Source organism: Homo sapiens, chromosome 6 (assembly GCF_000001405.40).
Source record: "Homo sapiens chromosome 6, GRCh38.p14 Primary Assembly".
NCBI classification, from domain to species: Eukaryota; Metazoa; Chordata; class Mammalia; order Primates; family Hominidae; genus Homo; species Homo sapiens.
In genome coordinates this window covers 149,234,982-149,259,395 of record NC_000006.12, presented here as the reverse complement: position 1 = coordinate 149,259,395, position 24,414 = coordinate 149,234,982, and the positions used below count along the sequence as shown (strand labels likewise).

General features: G+C 43.5%; 1 protein-coding gene and 1 long non-coding RNA gene across 2 annotated transcripts in view, besides 3 other annotated features; one reads left to right on the top strand and one right to left on the bottom strand.

Annotated features, from left to right (window-relative positions):
* TAB2 (TGF-beta activated kinase 1 (MAP3K7) binding protein 2) overlaps nt 1-24,414 on the bottom strand; it is a 193,682-nt gene that overhangs the window by 152,212 nt on the left and 17,056 nt on the right. The gene's annotated exons all lie outside the window — the stretch shown is intronic.
* Nucleotides 1,845-16,113, top strand: TAB2-AS1 (TAB2 antisense RNA 1). The gene is made up of 3 exons (NR_149096.1): nt 1,845-2,012; nt 15,395-15,770; nt 15,912-16,113. It is a non-coding gene; the product is annotated as a TAB2 antisense RNA 1 (long non-coding RNA).
* Nucleotides 4,697-4,897: a silencer, noted in NCBI's record as "peak6209 fragment used in MPRA reporter construct". NCBI's record gives its function as "represses an SCP1 promoter by STARR-seq MPRAs in K562 erythroleukemia cells {active_cell/tissue: K562}" and the evidence as "EXISTENCE:reporter gene assay evidence [ECO:0000049][PMID:32103011]".
* Nucleotides 9,337-9,537: a silencer, noted in NCBI's record as "peak6208 fragment used in MPRA reporter construct". NCBI's record gives its function as "represses an SCP1 promoter by STARR-seq MPRAs in K562 erythroleukemia cells {active_cell/tissue: K562}" and the evidence as "EXISTENCE:reporter gene assay evidence [ECO:0000049][PMID:32103011]".
* Nucleotides 12,310-12,359: an enhancer, noted in NCBI's record as "active region_25250". NCBI's record gives its function as "activates an Ori minimal core promoter by ATAC-STARR-seq in GM12878 lymphoblastoid cells {active_cell/tissue: GM12878}" and the evidence as "EXISTENCE:reporter gene assay evidence [ECO:0000049][PMID:35858748]".

The window sequence follows — 24,414 nt, the reverse complement described above, 5'->3', positions numbered from 1 at the left end:
GCCCTCTCCCAGATTGTGTGTATGTGTGTGTGTGTGTGTGTGTGTGTGTGTGTGTGTGTGTAGAGGGAGCGTGCTATAGGCAGCCTTTCTATGTCTGCACTGTGAACAGATGTGGTCAGCATTTCTAGGGCCATTTATGGCTTTCTAGTTATATATTTTTCTTGCTTTGTTTTGCCACTTCCCTGAAAAACATCCTCCATTAGTTTCCTATTGTTACTGTCGAAAATGACCACAAACTTAGTGTCTTAGAACAACACCAGTTTATTATCCCACAGTTCTGGAAGTCAGAAGTCTAAAGTGGCTCTCACTGAGCTAAAATCAAGGGGTTGACAGCATTGTGTTCCTTTCTGGAGGCCCTGGGAGAGAGTGTTTTCTTGCCCTTTCTAGCGTCTAGAGGTGACCCTCATTCTTTGGTTTGTGGCCCTTTCCTCCATTTTCAAAGCCAGCAGTGGGTTGTAGAACCTTATTCACATCCCATAACTCTGACACCAACCCTGCTGAACCTCTGTGCTAACACTGGTCCAGAATCATCCAGAATAATCTCCCTACTTTAAAGTCAGCTGATCAGTAGCTTGCTTCCACCTTCAACCTTAATTTCCCTTTGCCATGTCACATGATGTATTCACACGTTCTGGTGATTAGGATGTGAATGTCTTTTGGGAAGGGAGAGAAACTAATCTGCTGATATACTATATAGGCATATGGTAATTTCTTTATCAGACTGAAAAGAGATAGGTTAACAGTGATTAACATTTTCTCAATGCAAAACTTTTTACTTAACTCAGGGAAAAATTATCTTTTGTATAAAAATGGATGCTTCTGAGCAAATGCATGATCAGCAAAGAATAGTTGTATGTTCAGTTACTGGACAGGAGGAACAGTCTTCTTCCCTTAGGTATAGGACAGAATCATACAAAAGTAAAAGTGTATTTATGTGAGAAGTGTGTGTGTGTGTGTGTGTGTGTGTGTGTGTGTGTGTAGGCAGTCATGCACTGGAGGGGGCTCACTCTGGCATGTGAGAGCCATTGTGTGTCTATATTTTCCTAAGTTCATGTTCAGTGACATCACTGAATGACTTGAAATTAGCCATGGTGGGAGTATTTACACCATAGAAAGCGGCAAATGCTGTAAGTCAGGGTTTTATTTTCCCCTGGAGAGCCCATTGTTAAACACTAATGGGCTCACCACTAGAGTAGAGACTCACTGCCTTCGGTTCATGTGCACAACACCGCTGTGTGGCCTTACTGCTCCTGTGGGATCCCCAGACTCTCTAGCTGGAGAAGGGGCAAATCCCAGGCCGCATCCAGACCAGCGGGCCTAGCCACAAACACAGCTGCTGCAGTTCTCCCTCTGCTATCTCAACTTCCCTAGTTGCTATAGTAGCGTGGACTGGATGGGGAGCTACACTTTCTCTCATGTGGGCAAAAGCTTGCTTCTTCGTCACTCCCCACTGTTTGAACTTCTCTCTGTCTAGCATTTTTTTCCTGACCAGTCTGTGTACCCGTCGTTGATCTGTCCGCTTGGATGGAGCCAGTGCTCTTTCTTAGAGTTGCATTCACTTGCCCTCGCTTGTGCTTGTCTTGCTCCCCCAGGAGCTATGAGATCAGTGCTGCCCAGATTTTAGGGGAGTTATCAGGGGAGCTTGTTAAAATGCAGACTCCAAGACTCTGCCCCCAGAGATTCTGATTGGGAAGGTCTGAGATGAGCCCCAAGGATCTGCATTATTGACAAGCACTATTATTATTAGCATTACTGACATTATTATTGGCATAATTCTAATTATTGACATCACTGACAAGATTCTGAGGCCAGGGGTTCATGGGCCACCCTGACTTGCCCAGTCTGGAAGCTCCCTGAAAGCCTGGCAGGCCACCCTACTTCAGCTGCATTCGGTCCATACACTGAGGGTCTCAGTGGGGAAAAAGCAGAGTCATTTTAAAGAAACATGGATCTTAGTTTCTAGAAGGTTTTTCCCCATCTGGCAGACAAATTTATGCCTATTCCACACACAGGTGGGTGCAGAATACCATGTTCCCAGGTTCCCAGAGAAGAGGAAACTTTTCCCCAAGAACTTTATCAGGTAGAAATGTGAAAAATTCACACAGCTGCCAAGACAGTGGATCCTCCTGAGTGCATGTATTTTGAGTATTTGAAACCATCTGAATGATTTATTGAACTTTTTACTTTCCGTGGACGTGCTTACTGGGTGTTGTAAGATGTGAACCTCACAGCCAGAGACAATGTCTGTTGAAAGGAAGATTCAATCTTCACTAAGCGCAACCCAGCTTGTTTTTCAGCAGCTAACCAACCACTCTGACTGTGGCAATTTTCTTAGCAGGAAAAATTTTAGATGGTTGTGTGGTTTCTAGCTTTATTCTTTTTCATTTTACACGTGAAATGTTTGGGATCAGATTGGTTTTCTTTAGAACTATGGTCCAAATTAATTTAAACTGACTTAATTATAAAGAAAGAGATAAATTGCTACCTTTAGGAGCTTTTGACCTCAAGTCCTCTGATATTTGAGACAAAGTTTTTTATCCCCTGGGATGAAATCCTTCAGTAGCATGTAGGCGAGTTTTGAGCAAAGCAAAGAGTAATGAAAACTCTAATATAAAGGCTGTAATTTTCTAAAGAAGTCTGTTCCTTATTAAGATCAAGTACATGTCAGTCATCTTATATTTTGGGAACATCCACCAAATGCAGGAACTGTACTGGGTGCTTTTCCATGTGTGGAAAATTTTATCCAGCGTAATCAATTTTTCTAGTGCAATAAACATATTAAAAAGAAGGCAAATGAGATATTTCTGTATCTCATCAGCATGAATAATATATTCGAGTTTTCCCCTGACCACATAAGACTTGGGCTTGAATACTACCCTGCCTCCATGGGTCTCTTCTTCATATAAAGAAAGGGGAGAACATTTGTGTTAAGTACCACATAAAGGAGGTTGTGAGAATCTAATGCAATGATGTGTATGAAAGAGTTTTATCAAAGAGGAAGCAAAATTAATATAGTTTATAATTCTGAATTTATATAGTTTATAAATATTAAATTCTATATGCAAGTATACATTCCACCCATACAATTCTAATATATTTCCTTTACTCCAATGCCCTCTAGTAGTACAACAGAATTACTGTGTTATTGTTTTGAGATGAAGTTATTATATAATATTTTAAGATGAATTATTGTATTGTCATTTTGCAATGAAAACTGTAAAATGTTTCCTCTTCCTTTTCACTTCCTTTTTTTAAAATTAACTTTCCTTCTTTTTAATAGTAACCAGTTCTTTTCTGGAAGTGTCTCAGTATGTGGGTTTTCACATACTGGTTGATCAGAGGCTTGAAGGTACAATCAACTCTTCCCTGCTAGCAGGGTGGAAGGAGTTAGTTTAACTCATTCTTGAGCCCCCAGAGAACTGGGTCTCATGACATGCTCTCTCTTTTTCTCCTTTTTCCTGCCCTCTTGGAAGTATACTGAGAGGTTTTTGAGGAGGACTCAGTTGTATATATGGTCTGCAACGACTGCCTGGTTCTTCTTTCTCTTTCCAAATTTTACATCTGGCATGAAAAGAGAGGCAATTCTAAATGTAAATATGACTTCTTGATTACTTAAAAATACTCCTCTCTAGCTCATATACATAGCAATTTTGTGTAAATATATGTTAAACATCAAGGCCCATTGAAAGAAGAAAGAAATCACATAATTATAATAGCTAATCAATCTAGAATACAAACACTTCCAGATTTATTAGATTTATCAAAGACACTAGCATAATTTCTTTTGTTGCATATTTTTCCTATTTACAGAAGTAACATGTTAATTATAGAAGATATGATAAATCTGGAAAAATACAAAGAAGCAGCAAATTGCACATTCTGCCAAAATTCAGAGATAACTCTTATGAATATTTTTAGAATAGTTTTTTAGTCTTATTTTCTTTGTAGGTATACACACGCAGAAACACACATACACACTCCTTTTTCATATATTTGATTGTATTGTAATTATGTTTTATTTGTTTCCTTAATCAACAAACATTTATTTCTCACAGTTCTGGAGGCTGGGAGGTTCAAGATCAAGATGCAGGCAGATTCATCTCCTGGTGAGGGCCTCTTCCTGGCTTGCAGACTTCTTGCTATGTCCTCTCCTGATGGAGAGAATGAGCTCTGGTGTCTCTCCCTCTTCTAACGGGACCAGTCCCATCACAGGGTCCTGCCCTCATGACCTCATCTAAACGTAATTACCTTCCAAAGGCTCCACCTCCAAATACCATTACATTGGGGGTTAGGGCTTCAACATGGATTTTAAGGGATATCAACAATTAGTCCATAACGTTTTGCCCCAGGTCCCCCAAAATTCATGTCCTTCTTCCATGCAAAATACATTTATTCCATCCCAACAACCTCAAAAGTCTTGACTTATTCCAGCAACAACTTTAAGGTCTAAAGTCCAAAGTCTCATCTAAGTATCATCTAAATTAGATACGGTAGTTACATTTTATAGCTAAAATTTTGTGTAGCCTACATTTAACATTTTCCATATCATCAGGCATTTTTCTATAGTACAGTCCCTGGAACACAGTAAGTGCCGAGTAGACCTTTGCTGAATTAATATATAAATTATTTTTAATGGATTTATGATGTTCCATCATATGAAAATACCTCAACTGATTTCATTATTCTCTTTCTCGTCCAGTTTAAAGTAGAGATATCATGGGGAAAAGTGAGAAGTGACATGTATAATTATGGTCACATTGAGGGAGGAAGAGACACCATCTGGAATGCAGGCAGAAAGCCATGTGAAGCTCCCTGTGAGGGAAGGACTGTGGAACTGTCAATCATGACCATGAGCCTTATGCCTGAACACTCTTTCAGATCACAAGTAGTTGCCTGTTAAAGTTGGAATAATGTGGAGAGAGAGTACTGAAGTGAGTTCAGAAACAGTCGTCATATGACCTGAATCAGCTAGAGAGTGCTTTCGGTGGCAAGAAACAGAAGGCTAACTCAAACTGGCTTAAACCATAAAGACATGCACCAAATCACATGCATGAAAACCCAGTGGCTGGTCAGGCTTCACATGGTTCTACCAAGCCTTCTGCCTTACTCTCCTGTGATTGCCACAGCTCTGTACTCCTCCATAGATGACTTTGTTCTCAGGCTCATTCCCCTGGAGGTCTTTGGGGGAGCGTATTTGGTCATCAGAACTGCATGCTTTGTTTTTCTTTTTCCTTTCCTTTCCTTTTCTTTCCTTTCCTTTCCTTTCCCTTCCCTTCCCTGTCCTTCCTTCCTTCCTTCCTTCCTTCCTTCCTTCCTTCCTTCCTTCCTTCCTTCCTCCCTCTCTCCCTCTTTCTTTCTCTCTTTCTTTCTTTTCTTTCTTTCTTTCTTTCTTTCTTTCTTTCTTTCTTTCTTTCTTTCTTTCTTTCTTTCTTTCTTTTTCTTTCTTTCTTTCTCTTTCTTTCTTTCTTTCTTTCGAGATGGAGTCTCTCTCTGTCACCCAGGCTGGAAGGCAGTGGTGCAATCTTGGCTCACTGCAACCTCTGCCTCCTAGGTTCAAGCAATTCTCCTGCCTCAGCCTCCTGAGTGGCTAGGATTACAGGCGTGCTCCACCAAGCCCAGCTAATTTTTGTATTTTTAGCAGAGACGGGGTTTCACCATGTTAGCCAGGATGGGCTCGATCTCTTGACTTTGCGATCCGCCCCTCTCAGCCTCCCAAAGTGCTAGGATTACAAGCGTGAGCCATCATGCCTGGCTTTCTTTTTTTTTTTTTTTTTTTTTGAGACAGTCTTGCTCTGTCACCCAGGCTGGAGTGCAGTGGTGCGATCTTGGCTCACTGCAACCTCCACCTCCCAGGTTCAAGTGATTCTTCTACGAGTAGCTGGGATTACAGGCTTGTGCCACCACGCCCGGCTAATTTTTGATGGTTGTGTGGTTTCTAGCAGAGATGGGGTTTCACTGTGTTGGCCAGGCTGGTCTCAAACTCCTGACCTCAAGTGATCCGCCCGTCTTGGTCTCCCAAAGTGCTGGGATTACAGGCGTGAGCCACAGCGCCTGGCCAAAACTACATTCTTTCTTATTCACAAAGAAGAAAGAAAGGGAATTAGAGAGTATATCTTGGCATATCACATAAAAGAAAGAAATAATTTATCCTGAAGACTCCAGCAAATCTCTTTTATGTTTCATTGGCCCCAATGGGCCTAGACATCTCCCTTCCTCAGCCAAGTACTGACAAGGGGAAAGGGAACAGGATTACCAGGATTAACTTACACGAACCAGCCAGGCTGAAATAATTGTTGTTGGTTTGTTGGTATGTTGGTGTGTGTAATCCATTTCTGTGAAACAAACAATGAGAAAATCCCAACAGTAAGTACTGATTTAGCTCAGGTCTCTGTGTCTTGGCTGGTCTAGGCTGGGTGCACCTGATAGAGCTTGGCTGGGCTGCCTCTGCTCCCTGTAAATCTCCTTCTCTGCTCCATATAGCTTCTCCTCGTGGGACCAAAGGCAAGTTCTTCTCATGGTAAGAGTGGAAGAGAAATAGGGCAAGTGGAAGTGACACACCATCCTTTCTCATTTTATTGGCCAACACCAGTCACATGACTAACCTCAAAGTCAAAAGGAGGAGAAATATATTCTGTCTGGTGAGTGGAGGAACTCCAACATCACATGGCAAAGGGTGTGAGCAGTACTAAGACTAGGGTGAGACGAGCAAATACTTGTCTTCAGTGAAAAGTTTAAGGGGCGTCAAGATATTTAATCAAGATAAATAATTAATATAAAATATTTTTAAAAACCAAAGTTAATGCAGAACATTTGGGATGAGCAAAATACCAAAGTTTTTAAATAAAGACAGGATCGGTATAGGGATGGATAAGCATTAATGCTAATGACTCAATCTACCATAGGCCACCAACCACAACGTCCCCTTTCAAGGACTCCCATGCTCAGCCTTAGAAGATGCACACAGAACTCTGCCCTCTTTTTTTTTTTTTTTTTTTGAGGCAGAGTTTTGCTCTTGTTGCCCAGGTTGCAGTGCAATGGCGTGATCTCAGCTCATGGCAGCCTCCCGGGTTCAAGAGATTCTCCTGCCCTCAGCCTCCCGAGTAGCTGGGATTACAGGCATGTGCCACTATGCCTGGCTAATTTTGTATTTTTAGTAGAGATGGGTTTCTCCATGTTGGTCAGGCTGGTCTCAAACTCCTGACCTTAGGTGATCCACCCGCCTCGGCCTCCCAAAGTGCTGGGATTACAGGCATGAGCCACTGCACCCGGCCTGCCCTCTTAAGGTTCATTGCTTTTCTCATTCCAGGTCTGTAGCTCAAGTATCTGCTTATCCTGGAAGTCTCTAAGAAATTGAATGGAAATAATCTCAAGAAAATATCCTTAAGGATAAATTATTCCTTATATATTTTTTTGTTTATAAAAAAGAAAACAAAACAAGAAAAGAAAATCATGTTCCTTTCAATGGTTCTTGTACATTAATTCCTTCTTTGCTTGCTAGTTTAAGAATTAGTGCAATTCCCATAAAAATTAGAATTAGTAAGGTAGTACAATGATTTTCTAGAGACTGAGTTTCATAATACTTTTAGATTTTAAATATGGTACATGTTTTAACAAAGTACAGCTAAAGTCTTTTTGGATCGGACACAAGTTATGCCACGAGTGCTTAACTTTTTATAAATGAGATGAGTATAGGAATTCAAGAGCAGAGGTTCCTGTGGGGAGACCATTCTCCTGTCTTATTTGATGAGTGATGTGCTAATCCCAGCACTGAAGCTGTTGGCAGAAAGGAAAGACTTCCGAAATTGACAGGACTCGTGTGTGGAACTGCCATGGGTCCGTGGGCTGCCACAGAATTATGCAGGAAATAATTTTCAAGGAAACAAGAAGGAAAACATGATTGGGTCCAAAATTCTATCATTGTTTTATTGAAAAAGCAAATCTCTTCTCTAGCTTGAAATGCTAGAGCTACAATTTATTTCTTCTTAAGTTTGTCCCAGTGGGAGTCACAGGCCGGGTCATATGGGGTGATGACCACCTTTCCACCTCCTCTAATGCTCGCCCCTGGAGTCCAGCTTCCCCCAGAGACTTATGAAAAGGAAGGGTAGGGTGGAGGCTGGCACCAAACCAAGAAGAAATAAGAATCTTGTCATGTGGTGAGAACTGTTAGCTCAACATATTTCTGGTGATGGCCTGACCTGGAGTCTGAGGTGTCCACGTTTACAGTCATCTCTACGGTTGATTATGGTACTGCATCTCCAGGAGGCACCCGGCAAAAGGAAAGCGTTAACTTGGCAAACAACTGACTCACAGCGACAGAGCTGTGCATTGAGTGGGATTTAAAATGAAAATGGAGAAAGAGGGAGTATTAATCCTTGAAGAGCTGATGAAAGCTGGCTGCTATGGGGACAGCAAATATCCTTTGGAAATAAGCGTGAGTGAGCGAGGTTTCGGAGAAAACAATGAAGAGAGGCAGAACTAAAACGAATGGTGTCAGAGGCCTGTATGTCCATGTATTAAACAGGTGAATATGTTAAACAAGTGAAGTGATTTTCATAATGCAAGGTAGTTATATGAGTTCCCAAGAATAACCAAGATTTGAAGCAAAGCAAAGGAAAGGAAAGGAAAGGATAGCCTCATCAATTCAACGTACCTGGTAAAAAATAGCCGGTGTGCTGCCATCTGCCCCCTAAACTTCCCCTTTGGAATCTATTTTATATACAGTCTTGAGTAATCTCTTTTCTGAAACCCAGATGTAATAATGCCATTTCCCTAATTTAAAAAAGTTTGGTTGGCTGGGCATGGTGGCTCATGCCTGCAGTTTCAGCACTTTGGGAGGCCGAGGTGGGCAGATCGCCTGAGGTCAGGAGTTTGAGATCAGCATGGGGAACATGGTGAAACCCTGTCTCTACTAAAAATACAAAAATTAGCTGGGCGTAGTGGTACATGCCCGTAATCCCAGGTACTCGGGAGGTTGAGGCAGGAGAATTGTGTGAACCTGGGAGGCAGAGGTTGCAGTGAGCCGAGATTGCGCCATTGCATTATAGCCTGGGTGACAAGAGCTAGACTCCTTCTCAAAAGAAAAAAAAAAAAGTTTGGTGAATTCTCACTGTCTACACACTAAGGTTTAGACTTTAGACTTTCCTGTATGGCATAAAAATCTGGCTTTATCCTTCTTCTTTCAATATCCAAAATAAATATTTGCTGAGGGCCTATTCTGTGCTGTTTCAAGATCTGTATACTCTGGTAAACAAAAGCCACCCCCTGCCCCTACCTCCCATACTGTAGCCACACAGTCCTTTATTATTTTCATGTCACGCCCTTCTCATTGAGTTTTGCTATGTTGCCTCCTCTCCCTGGAATGCCCTTCCTGTCCTTTGCCAGGAAACTCCTACACATCCTTCAAGACCCAACTCATATGTTAGCTCTTCACCACAGCCTTCCCTCACAGTCCAAGCAGAAATGATTGCTTTCTGCTCTGTTTTCAAATAGCTAACAGTTTGTATTTTAGGTACAGGACTTAGAATTTTATTATTAGTAGTAGTAGTTGTCTATCCATCTCTTGAACTGGTTTGTAAGACCAGTGATGGAGTGCGGGCCTGCAGCCAAGTAGGCAGTTACTGACTGTCAGTAAATGAGGGAAGAAATGAGGGCAGGAGACGCATCTGCACAGGAAAGCGGGAGCCTGAGAGTGAGGGCGCCGTGAAAGATAGAGACAGGGAGAGAAAGAGAGAGAGACAGACAGACACACACACACAGATGGAGAGACACACACAGACAGAGACATACAGAGAGACAGAAAGAGAGAGGGAGACAGAGACAGAGAGACAGAAAGAGAGGGAGACAGAGACAGAGACAGAAAGAGAGAGGGAGACAGAGAGAAAGAGACAGAGATAGAGAGAAAGAGACAGAGAGAGACAGAGAGAAAGACAGAGATAGAGAGACAGAGAGAGACAGAGATGGAGAGACAGAGAGAGAGTTACAGAGAGAGCACACCTTTGCTTAGAGATGTCCCTAAGAGCAGGTCCTAGATTTGTAGGTCCTGATGGGATGTTTTTGAGGGTCCAATGCTGAAGAGGGGATTATTCTAGGAGGTGAAGTTGAACTGTTGGGAGCAGAGTTCTGTCTGCCTGGGGCCACACCCATGCCCTGGGCACTGCTGTAAGCTCTGGGGAGGTGTGGCCAAGAATTGCTTCTAGTAGGGTAGGTGTCTGTGTGTGTGTGTGTGCGTGTGTGTGTGTGTGTATGTGTGTGTGTGTGTGTATGTGTGTGTGTCTGTGTGCAGAGTTGCAGGGGGAAGGGAAGAGAGACTGTAGTATAGTAAACTTTGAAACTAGATGAGCCAAGAGAAAAATAAAATATAGGAAGGAATCTTGCAAGCATGGCTGTGTCCACCATCACTCCTCTGCTGTGTAATTTGGCCTCTGTGTGTATGTGTATGGGGGATGGTGAGGCGTGGGAGAGGGTGGACACATATCCTTTAAGAGGCAGAACTGTGGCAGGAGATGAATAGCAGTGACTGTGGCCGGGGGTGGGGACATGACTGCTCCTGTGACAAGACAGAGAAAATGGCAGGTGCCTCAGACACAGCTCACAAAACAGGCCCAGGGCAGGGACAGCAGCACTGGGGGGCTGGTCAAGGTGAGCCTCACGGGGCTTCACTCCCTTTATAGCAGACCTCCAGAAAATTCCTGACTTCTCTTGCTGACGTTATTTTCCAGAGGGCACAGGAAGAACTAGGGAAACTACTCCTGTCAATACTTGTAAATGACCAAGTGCATACAGTGCTACTTATGACCACCTTGGGAGAAAGAGTGTGCTGGCCAGTGGGGAGACTCAGATGTGAACAATTTTCACTGAACTCTAAATGTGTAGAATGCTTTTCTTTCTTTCTCTCTTTCTCTCTCTCTCTCTCTTTCTTTCTTTCTTTCCTTCCTTCCTTCTTTTCTTCCTTCCTTCCTTCCTTCCTTTCTTTCTTTTTCTTTCCCTCTCTGTCTCTCTCTTTTTTTGACATAGTCTCGCTCTGTCGCTCAAGCGGGAGTACAGTGGCACAATCTCAGCTCACTGCAACCTCTGCTTCCCAGGTTCGAGCAATTCTCCTGCCTCAGCCTCCCAAGTAGTTGGGATTACAGGCGCCTGCCACCACGCCCGGCTAATTTTTGTATTTTTAGTAGAGACGGGGTTTCGCCATGTTGGTTAGGTTGGTTTTGAACTCCTGACCTCAGGTGACCCACTCACCTCGGCCTCCCAAAGTGCTGGGATTACAGGCATGTGCCACCATGCCTGACCTTAGAATGTTTATTTCTTTCTGTCTTTTATTTTATTTTACTTTAAGTTCTAGGATGCATGTGCAGAACATGCAGGTTTGTTACACAGGTATACATGTGCCATAGTGGTTTGCTGCACCTATCAACCCACCATCTAGCTTTTAAGTCCTGCATGCATTAGGTATTTGTCCTAATGTTCTCCCACCCGCTGCCCCTACCCCTCAACAGGCCCTCGTGTGTGATGTTCTCCTCCCTGTATCCCAGCGGATTAAGATGCTCATTTCTTAAAATTCAGGGGAAAGATGGACACTACCGGTTCCGTGGCCCAGGGTTTTGGAAGAGGCGGCCTCCGGATGACTGGATGCACTTCTCCCTGGGACTCACCCTGTGTCGTTACAGCTCGAGCTTACTGAAAATAACAGACAGACACCTCCACTTGTCCCCTCCAACAGAGTGGCTGCACTGGCAGCTCTCTAATGAGTTCTAACCCCATAGGGGCAGTTATGAAACTGATGCAAAAAGGATACAATCAAGATAGAAGTCAATAAGGAGCACAGAAGGCATGAGTAAGACTTGCATCAGAGAGGCCAAAACCCAAAATGCGCTGGGGGTTGTGGGAGCGGCTGAAGAGCCTGGAGAAGCCGCTTATAGTCATTTTAAGTCAGATTAAAGGAGTGTGTTTGGCTGACGAGAGGACCCCATGCTTGCATGTATGGAGCCTTATCTCAGCTTCCATACCTACAAAGGGGACATGATTGGTGTCTACCCCAGAGAGTGGTTTTAAGAATTAAACAAAATGACGTGTGTGAAACTCTTGGAACAGTGTCTGGTTCATGGCAGGAGGTGTCCGTGACGTGCCTGAGGCCATTTGTGTGCTTACCTGTGTGTTTCTGTAAAGCAGACCCAGTGCAGGGCACCAGGGATGTGGTGGGAGCCACACGGGATGATGACGTTCCTACCCTCAGGGAGCTCACACTTACGAGGGGGCAGTAGAGGTTGGGAGTGGATAGCCTTGGAGGAGAGGGGTGGGGGTTGTCGGGAAGAGGGAGGGCTTACCTGAGCAGGAGCTGTTGAAACTGCAAGGGAGGCGGCTGGGTGGTGAGGGCAGAGCAGCAGCAAAAGGTTGGGGATAAGGAACTGAGAGTGGGCCCTGACTGCTGAACAGGGACTGCTGTGGCAAGAGGCTTGGAGGAAGCAGAACTCAGGCACTTTCTGTTTGGTTTTAGTCTTCCTTGACAAACAGAATCAATTTCAGATGAAAACGGCTTCAATATTGCAGAGAGGAAATCAAAAGAGCAACTTAGCCGAGTGTGGTGGTGCATCTGTAGTCCCAGCCACTCAGGAGGCTGAGCTGGGAGGAGGGCTTGAGCTCAGGAGTCCGAGGCTGCAGTGAGCCGTGATTGTGCCACTGTGCTCCAGCCCGGCAAGAGAGCAAGACCCAGGCTCATACAAAAAAGAGCGCCCAGCTCTTCTGAATCTGACCTGGCCCCTCCGCCTGAGCCCTAGGTTCCCGCCTTCCTTGGCCCTCTCATGTTGACTGTCACGACTTAACAGCCCAGTCCAGGAACACCTGCGGTGAACTTGGGATTTCTTTGACATTTCAACTGTTATTTTAAAAGGCTATGGTCGAATAGAAAACAACATAAGACCTTCTGATTAGCGGTTTTAGAAAAAGCTTTGTTTCGATGGTGCAAATTAGGTAGGTGGAGGAAATTATCCATGAAGACTGGAGTTTACATTTTCTGGAAATTGTTTCATGCAGTCTTCTAGGGAAAACAGAGTCCTGTAAAAAGTAGCCTATTGAACACAATTTGAAATTTTAGGCCTGAACAGACCATTTGCTTTTAGGAGCAAATGCTAGGGAGCCATTTCCCTTGAAGGTAGAAGTGGGCCTTTGGTAAAAAGTCCAATAACCGGCCGGGCGTGGTGGCTCATGCCTGTAATCCCAGCACTTTGGGAGGCCAAGGCGGGTGGATCATGAGGTCAAGAGATCGAGACCATCCTGGCCAACATGGTGAAACCCTGTCTCCACTAAAAATATAAAAATTAGCTGGGCGTGGTGGTGGGCGCCTGTAGTCTCAGCTACTTAAGAGGCTGAGGCAGGAGAATTGCTTGAACCTCGGAGCGGAGCTTGTAGTGAGCAGAGATCGTGCCACTGCACTCCAGCCTGGGTGACAGCAAGACTCTGTCAAAAAAAAAAAGTCCAGTAACGACTGTATAATTTTTAAAGTGTAAACGCAGAGGAGGGAGAAATGTATAGACAGAAGTATTTGTTTCAGCTTTGCTTGAAGAGGCAGAATCTGGAAACCATCCATCTGTAGGGGAATGGTACAAAAGTGATGGTATGGATTACTGTACGATTCTCAGTAAGATGATGCTAGGGGGTTGTCCATGAGGTATTATTAAGTGAGCAAAGCAAGCCATGGAATAAAGAGTGCATTGTTTCCATATCTGTATAAACAAACAGCAAAACACCCTAATTTTGCCCACATGCATCAATATCTAGTTGTATAAGCGTGGACAGAGGGACTATCTCGGTGAAAAAGAATGAAGGAATTTCAGGAAGAGAAATAATTTATATAACCATGAGTTGTTTTATTTAGTATAAATAAATACATTAAAGAAACAATTTAAATCATATATCAAAAGGAAGAAGAAACAAGGAAAAATGTCATGGTAATTTTACATCCTATTCTATAATATAAAACTACATTTTAAAGTTATCTGATATGAGAAAAAAGTATCAAACCTCTCCCCTCCTGAGTCTTTGGGAGAAATAAACAGCACACCATAGTGATTTGATGGCTGCAAGTCCTCTGGTCACCACTACATGTGCCCAGGTTGCTCTTAGCCCACCTCTAGAAGCTACGGCTAAGGTTCAGATCTCCTCTACTTTCCAAAACTTGGGTCTTTAAGCCCTACTGAATCTGAATGTCATGCTCTGTCACTTCACAAAACCTATGGCCCTGACCCTCTTCCAAAAATGTTGCTTCTCACCTGTCTGGCAAACTCTTAGCATCGTGGTTATGAGTGTGGATGCTGTCACTGAGTGCCTGGGTTTAAACTCCAGCTCAGCCCCAAGGTAGCTGCTTGACTTGGGCAAGTTACTTGATCTCTCTGTGCATCATGAAATGGGGATAGCACTGATATCTAAACTTGAGGTCTTGAGAGAATTAAATGAGTTAATACATCTAAAACTGTGTACAGATGGCAGCAGCATCTGCCATATCTTGTTGTTTTTTTTTTTTTGAGATGAAGTCTCCTGCAGTCCCCAGGCTGGAATGCAGTGGCGCTATCTTTGCTCACTACAACCTCCACCTCCCTGGTTCAAGCGATTCTCCTGCCTCAGCCTCCTGAGTAGCTATGATTACAGGCATGCACCCCCACGCCTGGCTAGTTTTTGTATTTTTAGTAGAGATGGGGTTTCACCATGTTGGCCAGGCTGGTCTCGAATTCCTGGCCTCAAGTGTTCCACCAGCACCCCTGACTCCTTACCTCAAGTGACCCACGTGCCTCGGCCTCCCAAAGTGCTTGGGATTACAGGCGTGAGCCACTGCGCCCAGCCTGTATCTTCCTGTATGCTTGCTCTTATTATTACTCATATTTCCAGACTCTGCCTAGGCATCACCTCTATCCGGGATACATCCTTTCCTGAACTCCCAGAGTCCTTGTCTCCTTCCTCCTTCATGCTCCGTCAGCAGCCTACACCCTATGTTCTGGTAAACTTCACTGCACGTTTCTTTGTCTTCCCTCAACAACTTCCCTATCCACCCACCCTCCACCGCCACCGTGGACTATAAGTCACTTGAGGGCAGGAACCAAGCCTATTCATTTCCGAGTTGCCGGCCTTTGGCACAGTGCCCAGCATGTAGTAGAGGCTCAGTTGAAGGGGTGGAAGGAAGGATAGAAGGATAAATCCATTCCTGAGATCCCTTTTATTGAGGCTGTTTCCCCAAACACTGGAAAGCCTCAGCCTTTGTGTTTGTTTTCTGGTACAATAGCACCTGTTGGTGCTTACCTTTGATTGGTGTACATTGTCTAATTGATCTTTCTATCAGTCATGTTCCAAACTGAAGTTATGTGCTTCTTTGATCATGGGCTGTATCTGCTTTCTTTGGTGTCCTTTTCAGTTGCCCACTGGAAGAGTCTTTCCATTTGCCACACTGGATGCCACACTGGATGGGATAATCTAGGAGGGAGGAACTGTGGAGATGGTGCGCCTTGGGATGTCCAGAAGACAGTGACCAGAATTTCAAGAGATGTTTTCAGATTTCACAGTATAATAAGAGAAAAGGAGCCAATCCCTTAAATGAAGAACCTTCAATCACTTCTCCCCAGGTGCACGTTTCAATTTCATTTCTTTTCATCAACTCCTTCCCTTTGATGATGGGTTGCATTGAAAACTATTAAGAAAAGTAGGATATTTAAAATGAACTGTGTTAAGAAGAGGATCATTTCAAAGAATCTATTCTGAGGAAGTGCCTTCAGCCAATCAAAAAGCTAAAGGTAAGTCAATAAGGTGAAAGTACTGCCTATCCTCATCCTGTTGGAAATATTACATTATATAGTTAAAGTTGTCTCCTGTGTTTTAGGTTATGGAGGTGGGGGAAGATTTGTACAAACTTATTTCCATTTCTTTGCACACAGAAACTGGATATAATGTGAATCTAGTGTAAATTACCATGATGTCTCCTTCAACATTCATCAAGACTTCTGACTAGTCTACTTGATCTGTGAAAATGAGATTACTTGAAGACCTGTCACAGATTTTAAAGCAGAACACGATATATTGATTATACAAATATTTTTATGTCACCCTGTATCTTAATAAAATAACATTTACGTCTGGAGAGTGTGTCAGTCTGAAGAGCCTGCCCAAAGCCAGATCTATATATTTAAATCGAGAAAGGCAGAGGCCGTGCTGGCAGTCTTTCAGCTTGTCCTGCTTCCATGATTGGACATAGATAATAATAATTTTGGGTGCATACGAGCAGATTTCGGAGAGAAGGGAATGAACCCCTGTGTTTACACTATGAGTCAGCAGGCAGCTATTTCAGAGGCTGAGACCAAGAGCAGGCATAGCCGATTCCTTCTCTCATTTTAGAATTCAAACCTATGTGGAGATTCTGATGGAATTACAGATGCAGATCCTAATTTCTGGGAATTTCAGTTTATAGCAAGGTGATGAAAGGGTGCTTCCAGAGTGAGCATGGGAGAAGCACCTTCTGGGAGAGAACTGTTGTCATTTCCCAGCAGGGAAGAGACCTGTGAGGCCTGCCATCTTTGCGTGGTGTGACCAGGGGCTGGGCATCATGGGGATTTGATGCCTTTCTTTGGGGATGAGTCTAACTGCCCCATAGAGAAGAGACGGGCGGCCATCCTTATGTCACATTCTCTTCTCCATGGCAAAACAATCCCGAACCAGAGGCTATCTTGGGATTCATAGACTTTGGGGCTGCCAACAAGGAAGAGCTACAGGTTCTTCCAGAAAAGTGTGTGTCTCACATCGAAATTCTCTTAAACCATACATTCTGGGGCATTTCCATTTTTGGAAGCTCAACCTCAGAGGAAATGCCTCTTTTGGGGTATTGTGGGACAGTCATGAAGTCTTCAATATTCTTTCATTGGGAGAAATTTATTTCCTGTTCTACTCACAGGCAACTTTAGGAACTCTATAATAACACCTACTAACAATTCACAGGAAAAAAATAGGTTTATTTAGATTTCAAAGTGCTAATAGGCTTTAGTTTATACTTAAAGGTTACTTTCTATTGGCACTAGTATTACTGTAACCCTGGGTGATTATTTGAGTTATTTCAAACCTTAAGGGAGTATTATGATATTATATTCCTGTGGAAAAAGAATTAATCAAACTTGATAAAGATGAGTGTTGGGTCCATGAAACCAATACAGCTAGAGACCAAAGACTGGAATAGGTATCATCAAAATGATCCCTTAGTTTAGGCATGTTCTTTACAAGAGCATTGTTTCAATACACATATGTGGGATAGGCAGGAAGGAGGGCCATCCCGAGCAGTGACATCCATATCCTGCAGAGATTCAGTTTCCTAATGGGAAGCTGGAGCCCAATGGCACCAGGCAGATAAGGTTTGATGGGGAGAATGAGGGAGGAAAGTCCAGAGCCTGGGGAAGGCAGTGGGGAACGCAGTAGCCAAGGATGACCTCGGGGCCCCCAGGAGCAGCCTTACGGGGCAGCAGAGAGAGGAGGCACGGGCTGGAAGGCTGAGAGTGGGCTTCAGGTCCAGTTCACTTCTTCCCCAATTCTTTCTACTTTCTACTCGTATGTGTTCAGAGAAGCCATCCTTAAGTCTGATTCGGTGGCTAGGTATATATTCAATCAGACTCTAATGCTTTGGCTTGAGCTATAATAAAAATCACAATTTCATCTGTAAATCATTCCAGATAGCGTAATATGGAATTAATTTCTGGTTATATTTGCTTGGGAGTCTTTTATGCAGTTTTGAAAATTTGCAGGGAGTTCAGCCTTGCTTTTGATTTAATCTCATTTTCGTCATATTTCTACCCACAGCATTGAAATGGTGGCTGGCAAATGGAATCAATTTGCAAGCAGACTTTAAAGAAGTCCATATTTAAGCTAAAATATCTTTGCAAATATTCAACCTTTTCAAGCATTTATTGGATCAGTGTCTGATAGAAAGAAACAAATACAACAATTTATAATGCCACTTTAAAAACATTAAAAATCATTTACAGTACGCAGGATCAACATCCTATTGATTAAAAGAGTATAGGCAAAAAGCCACTATTAGAAAACAACAAAAAAATGGAGAAGTGGTTTGCCTACATATATCATCAAGTGTAACTATTAAACTGAGCCCAAAATCTATTGTTTTAGTCTGCTCAGGCTGCCCTAACAAAATACCATAGACTGGGTGTCTTAAACAATAGTCATTTATTCCTCCCAGTTCTCGGGGCTGGGAAGCTCAAGATCAAGGTGCTGGCATGGTAGATTTCATTCTGAGGCCTCTTCTTGTGGTGTGTAGGTGGAAACCTTCTTGCTGTGTCCTTACACAACCTCTTTTTTGACCTCTTTTTTTGTGCTTGTGTGAAGAGTGAGAGAGCTCTTGGTGTCTCTTCCTCTTTATATGAGGGCATTATCACTATTGGATTAGGGCCCCACCCTTACGACTTAATTTTACCTTAATTACCTCCATAAAGGCCTTATCTCCAAATATTGTCACATTTGGGGTTAGGGCTTCAACATATGCATTTAGGGGAGGGGCATGACCATTTAATCCATAACACGTGTCATAATTAAATTTGTAGCTCTACATATTTATATTAGTTAAAATATAGCCATTTGATTTTATTGTACTTTAAAATATATTTGACTTTATGTTAGCCCAAAAATAATAAACAAAATTGGACAGACATTACACTTAAAACATGTTCATTATATGCAAATTATACTACCATAAAGACAGAATAAAAATATAGTAGAAAGAGTAGAAAAATAAAGTAATTGTTCTTGAATCTCTCTAGGCAGCAAGCCTAAGATGTTATCACTATCCTTTTATAATGATGATGATGATGATGCTATTATTCTACAGTTTTATAACACTTTACAGAACATTCTGATCCACCTGACCTTATTTACACTGGAGTTCCAGAAACTCTCCCGAAGGCATCTGTCTGTTGAATTGTGAAGGGTTTGCAGCAGAGAGGGGCTAACTGGGCAGTTTTCTGCATTCTGTGGGTGCAGAAATGTCCCCCTTGTTTCATAGACTGGAGGAACCTGCCACCACGGCAGGAGGTGGCCAACTAGATGACTTCTCTGGCAGAGGGACATTCAGACTGAAGGCTCAGATTCCCCTTCCCCTCCTCTTGAGCCAAGCAGGAAGATGCCTGCCAAACAGGTAAAGAGGAGCCCTGCCATGCTCAGATTACATGGGTAAGGCCCTGAGCCGAGGGCCCAGTCCTTAGGGAATCTTCTATAAGATGTAGTTTTTAGAATTAATTATAATAATCAAGATAGCACAACGGGGCAGTTTGGCGCTACCTTCAGCAGGGGCAGCCTGGGCATTCTGGAACTGAAACTCCTGCTGCTGCTTTCTGCTACTTTCAATCCCAGGGCTGTCCATAGCTCTGCCATCTGCTGTGGTCACAGGTGCCCTTTTTTCATTTTGGAGTATGCTTCTAGTCCTGTGACTGAGAATTTGAATAGACTGGCCTTGGTCCTGTGCAGAAAAGCTTGACTAATAGGTCAAGTTTACCTGTTGGACACACTGTCTACTAGGCTATCATCTCTGCGAAGACAGAATATCCCTCGGCTGTGTTCAGTGTTGTGTCTCTAGGATGGGCTCAGTGTCTGGCACATATAGGTGCTCAAGAAGTATTTGTTGAGTGAGAACTCACACTTCACAGTTCTGAGCCTTGGGGAAGTAACCAAGTGCCAAGTTCAGGAGATAATTCACCCCTTGTTAACACTATTGAAAAATAACAAGAGAACAAAATAAAGTGTGTAGAAGCAGCTCGAATAAAATACAGTTGGGTTTTTCTTGCCAGTACCTAAGCTCACTAAACTGAAGTGAAATATCCCAACACCATGTCAAAACATTTACATATGCTTTTCTTGTGGAAAGCCTGGGATTATGGCAAAGCCTCAGCCACAGTGCTTAGAGCACCTTTGATCACCGTGAATTCTAGACTTGTCCATGACCTCGTTTTGACAGTGATGTTGTGGCTGGAGTAGAGGTCTGCCCATCAAATGGCTTAGCCTCTGCTTCCTGGCTCTGTTCCTGACTCAGGTGACCTCACCACATAATCTCAGTAAGCTCTGGTCATGGCAACTCCAGGCCAGGTTTAAAGTCACGGTGACCAAGAGGCTAGGCCCAGTGTTAGCTTGGGCTTGTCTATCAAGCGATCATATGACAATTGTGTTGATAACAGCCAGACATGCCAGCCTCATTGGAAGCACAAATGCTCTGCCTGTGTGGTATCTGCAGTGATCCCTTTCTAAGAGTCACTTGAGTTTTAGATGGAGAATACATTCATAGCTGGATATCAGTTGGTGAGGCACTGGCATTCCACAGTCAGTTGAGTTAATCCCTTGTAGAGGTCCCAGAGATATTTCCACTGCCGCTGTCTTCTCTTCTAAACTGGTCATCAGAATATGATAAATGTGAGTTTTACTGCTAAGATTAGACATTCCCTCAGCCCTAGATCTGTCAAGTGGGATGGTTTTGAACATGAACATTGGCGAAGGCTCTGTCGTCTAAGATGTGACAGTCTCCATGAGTAAGTCAAGAAGCTTCCTTTGAATGGGACATCCGGCTGTGCTCACATAGCCTACAGAAGGTAGCAAAGGCAAGTCTGTGTTTTAAAAGAGAAAGAGAATATGCCCCGAGCAGCCTCAGACAGCTTCCGGGATGTGCAGGCTTTGCTCTTCAGGTCTCACAGTGATTCACAGTGAGAATCACTTTGATCAGACATGGTTGGTGTGGCAACTGTTAAGTATCGTGGTGGACATGGTCATCCTTGGAGGAGCCGGGGAGCCATGATCTTGTGCCATTCTGGGAGGCCAGGGCCCAGGGCAATGGGTGTTTGTCTGGCCAATGTCCTTGTTCAGCACTGAGCCACTGGGCCAGAACATGTAGGGTGAGTCTTAATTGCAGGAAGTTTGAATATAGTAGGTTTGCTGTGCCTTGTGGAGATGTACCCCGATTTGGAACCCCAGAGAAGCTCAAGCCAGGAAGCAAGCCCACCCTGTGTCTCCTCTCCCAGGTAAAGAAAAGGGAGAAAAGGGGTACAGAAAGGTAGAGAAGAAGAGGAGCCAGATGCCCTCTAGAGCAAGAGAAAAGAAACCCAGACTTTTGAAGATGCCAGGGGGTCTTGGAAATGCCAGTGATTCCATGTGGAGTTTCCTGGTTCTTAGTTACATTTTTGTTATTTCACTGGACACGCAGACTGGGCCAGGCACCGTGCTGGGTGTTGGGAACTCCAAAGTGATGGGAGACAGGTCCCTACCCATGGTGAAAAGATCTCTCCCCAGGAAAAGCTCACGAATTAGTGAAGGTGGGAGCCAGGCAAACATAAGTAGGTGCTAGTAGAAGGTAGGCTAAATACCACGGAGAGGAAGAGGAAAAAGGAACAAAGTGCTATGGGAACGCTGAGTGTGGGGTGCACACACTGTGGGGCTGGGGAGCAGGTAGAAAGCTTCACGGAGAAACAAATCTTAGAGCCAAGTTTTGAAGAAAAAGTGGATGTTTTTCAAACAAATTGATTTGGAGTGGGGTGGCGTGGTGCTTGGGGCAGAAGGACCAGCAGAAGCCTGCTGGGAACAGGCATCATTGCTCATCCCTGAGCCCACTATGCTCGGCAGATGGCCAGCACCCACAGTGGGAGGGGACTGGCTGTCAAAAGTGATGCCGTTAGGTGTGGGGCACCCTGGGGTGTTCCAGGAGAGGTGAGTTCTAGGAAGTAGTAGCTGCCAGCCACTGAGGTGAGGCCGCCTAGAGGACGGATGAGGGGTTTGTTGTTAAAGCATGGGTCTTAGGAAGCCATTGAAGGTTTTATAAACAGGAGAAAGGCAGGACTGACTGCCTCTCCACTTACGCATGGAAAGAGGCCTGGATTTGGCACCTTGGTAGCTCCATTGTATCATCATGGGGGTGCATAGTAGATGGTGCACCTGTGTGCAATGCCTCTCAGGGTGAGGAGGCCAGAGCTGGAGAAGAGGAAACCAGCATCAGGGACCACATTGCATCTTCAGGGACTTGCTCCTTAACAGATGTGAAAGTCCTTCAGGAGCCTCCAGAAACACAATGCAAGAAGACTTTGCAAGAGGTGGGATTGTACATTAGCAAGTAGGGATGAGTAAAATAGAGGAAGAAAAAAATGAACTTCTGTATAGATTTAGTTTCAAAGAAACAAAAGGAAGCTCATGTATTATCCATGGTTTTTGTCTCATTCTGCTCACTTAGCATTATTTCAAGAGCACCTTTGTACACCCTTATACATATTATTTCTTGCCAAATTCCAAGGAATTCTTTATGCTCAGATATAACACTTCACAGTGCCTAACACGATCCACGGAGGGGATCGCCATGCAAATAAATTAAACAATTTTACTTAGGCCAATTTAAAAAATAAAGAGAGTTGGGAAGATAAATGATTTGGCTCTGCTGTGGCATGTTGGACCAAATATAATGCAGCAAAATATCAGTCTTACAACAAAAGTCAAAGGAAAAGATTATGCTGAAAATTGCTTCTGGCTGACTGGTCTCCTGGTTATTAATTCAAATGTCCCTCCTATTGATGCTGTTAATGGCTTCAAACAGCTCTTGTCTCCTTTTATGCAAGGGGAAAATTGGACCCCTTCCAAACAAAATAACAGTAGCCTAGGGAAGCCAACATATGCAGCATTGCCAGATAACTCCAACTATTAATTTTCTTCAGCCAAGTTCCTTTCCATTTTTTAACAGATATGTCTTATGCTGCCTAACTCTACAAGGTAGACATTCCTATTACTCAAAAAATTTTTATATAAAAAAGAACTTCCCCACTTGATTAGCCTCCTATCTCTTTTTCTGGGCCATTTCACCAACAGAAAGCACTGAGTGAGTAGAAACCTCAGATGTGGTGTTGTATTGGGTTCTCATTTGGCAATGGGGAATAAGGAATGGTAAAAGGGCATTAGAATCTTTGTGAACAGGAAAGAAATCGAGGCAGAAATAATTTGAAAAAGCTCCTCCCATGATTCTGACATGTTCCCAAGTTGAAAACTACTTATTTAGAGATATAGAAGCTTCAGCCAACAATACCTCCTATTGTTTGATCCTGTGACTTACGCTTGAATACCTCAAATGAGGGTGACCTCATTGGTCATTATATTCCTGGACCATTTTATTTTATTTTTATATATTTAGGGGGCACAAGTGCAGATTTCTTGCATGCGTATATTGTGTAGTGGTGAAGCCTGGTATTTTAGTGCGCCCATCTCCCAAATAGTGAGCACTGTCCCCAATAGGTAATTTTTCAACCCTCACCTCCCTCTCACCCTCCCACCCTTTGTAGTCTCCAATGTCCTGGACCACTTTAATCTTTAGAAAGTATTTCTGCATTTTGAGCTCTGTGTCATGGTCATTTTTCACTTTTTGGGTGCCTTAAATCCATTCTCCCTTCCCAAGAGGACCATAGTTTTCTTTTGGGGAATAAACTGCTTTCCACTAGAGCCAGCCTGGGTTTGACAAATAAATCTAGGTGTCCTCCCCCTGTGGAAGTCAAAGGGACCTCTTGAAGGTCCTTCTGCCAGACTCTTCTTCTCATTTCCCTGGGACAGTCAAGGGACTGATGTGTGACCTATGCATGTCTAATGAAATTCACGCTCCTAGGACATGAATCTTGAGCAGGGTGACACAAGCACCAAGGCAATGGCTGGAATTCTTTTAATTGTAGAGGCAGTGCTAAGCAAGATGGTCAAGAAGTTCCTGATATCAAGGCTTTCTGGAGCCCTCTGTTTCTTGTGGACCCCCAGTCTGGTTCCTCGGCCTAGCTAGGAAATGGTGAACTCCTTCATGTTCTTCCAACCAATGTATCTTTTTGCTCAAGCTAGTCAGATGATTTTTTGGTGCTCAAGACCAAACAAGGCTGCTACCTCAAACTTCACCCTCCTGATCCTAGTTCCTCTTTCTGCTGTTACACCAAACACATAGGATCCCCTTTTAATAGGATGTTTCAAATTTTTAAAGACATCTATCACGTTCCTCCCAAGATTGCTCTTCCTCAACAGAATATCCCCATTTCCTTTAACACTTCTTCACTATTGTGGCTTATGGAGCCTTCAAAATTCTGTTTTCCTTGGCACAGGGCCCAGTTTCTCAAGGTCCCTCTTACAGTGTGTCATCCGGGATTGAAACCGTAAACCCACTTGGTGTTTCAGCCAGTTCAGATTATGGTCAGATGTTTCCTTGCCTTGAATGTTGTATTTATATGAATGCAAACAGAACTTGCCTTAGCTTTTATTTTTATGCTCCACTCTGAACTCAGATTGAGTGGCACAGAGCGCACACTTAAAAAGCTGGAGTTATTATTAATTATAAACCTCCTGGCTTTCTAATAAAAAGTGCTGAAGTCAGATGTCCTCATCTTGTATTTTTGCAATTGTTTT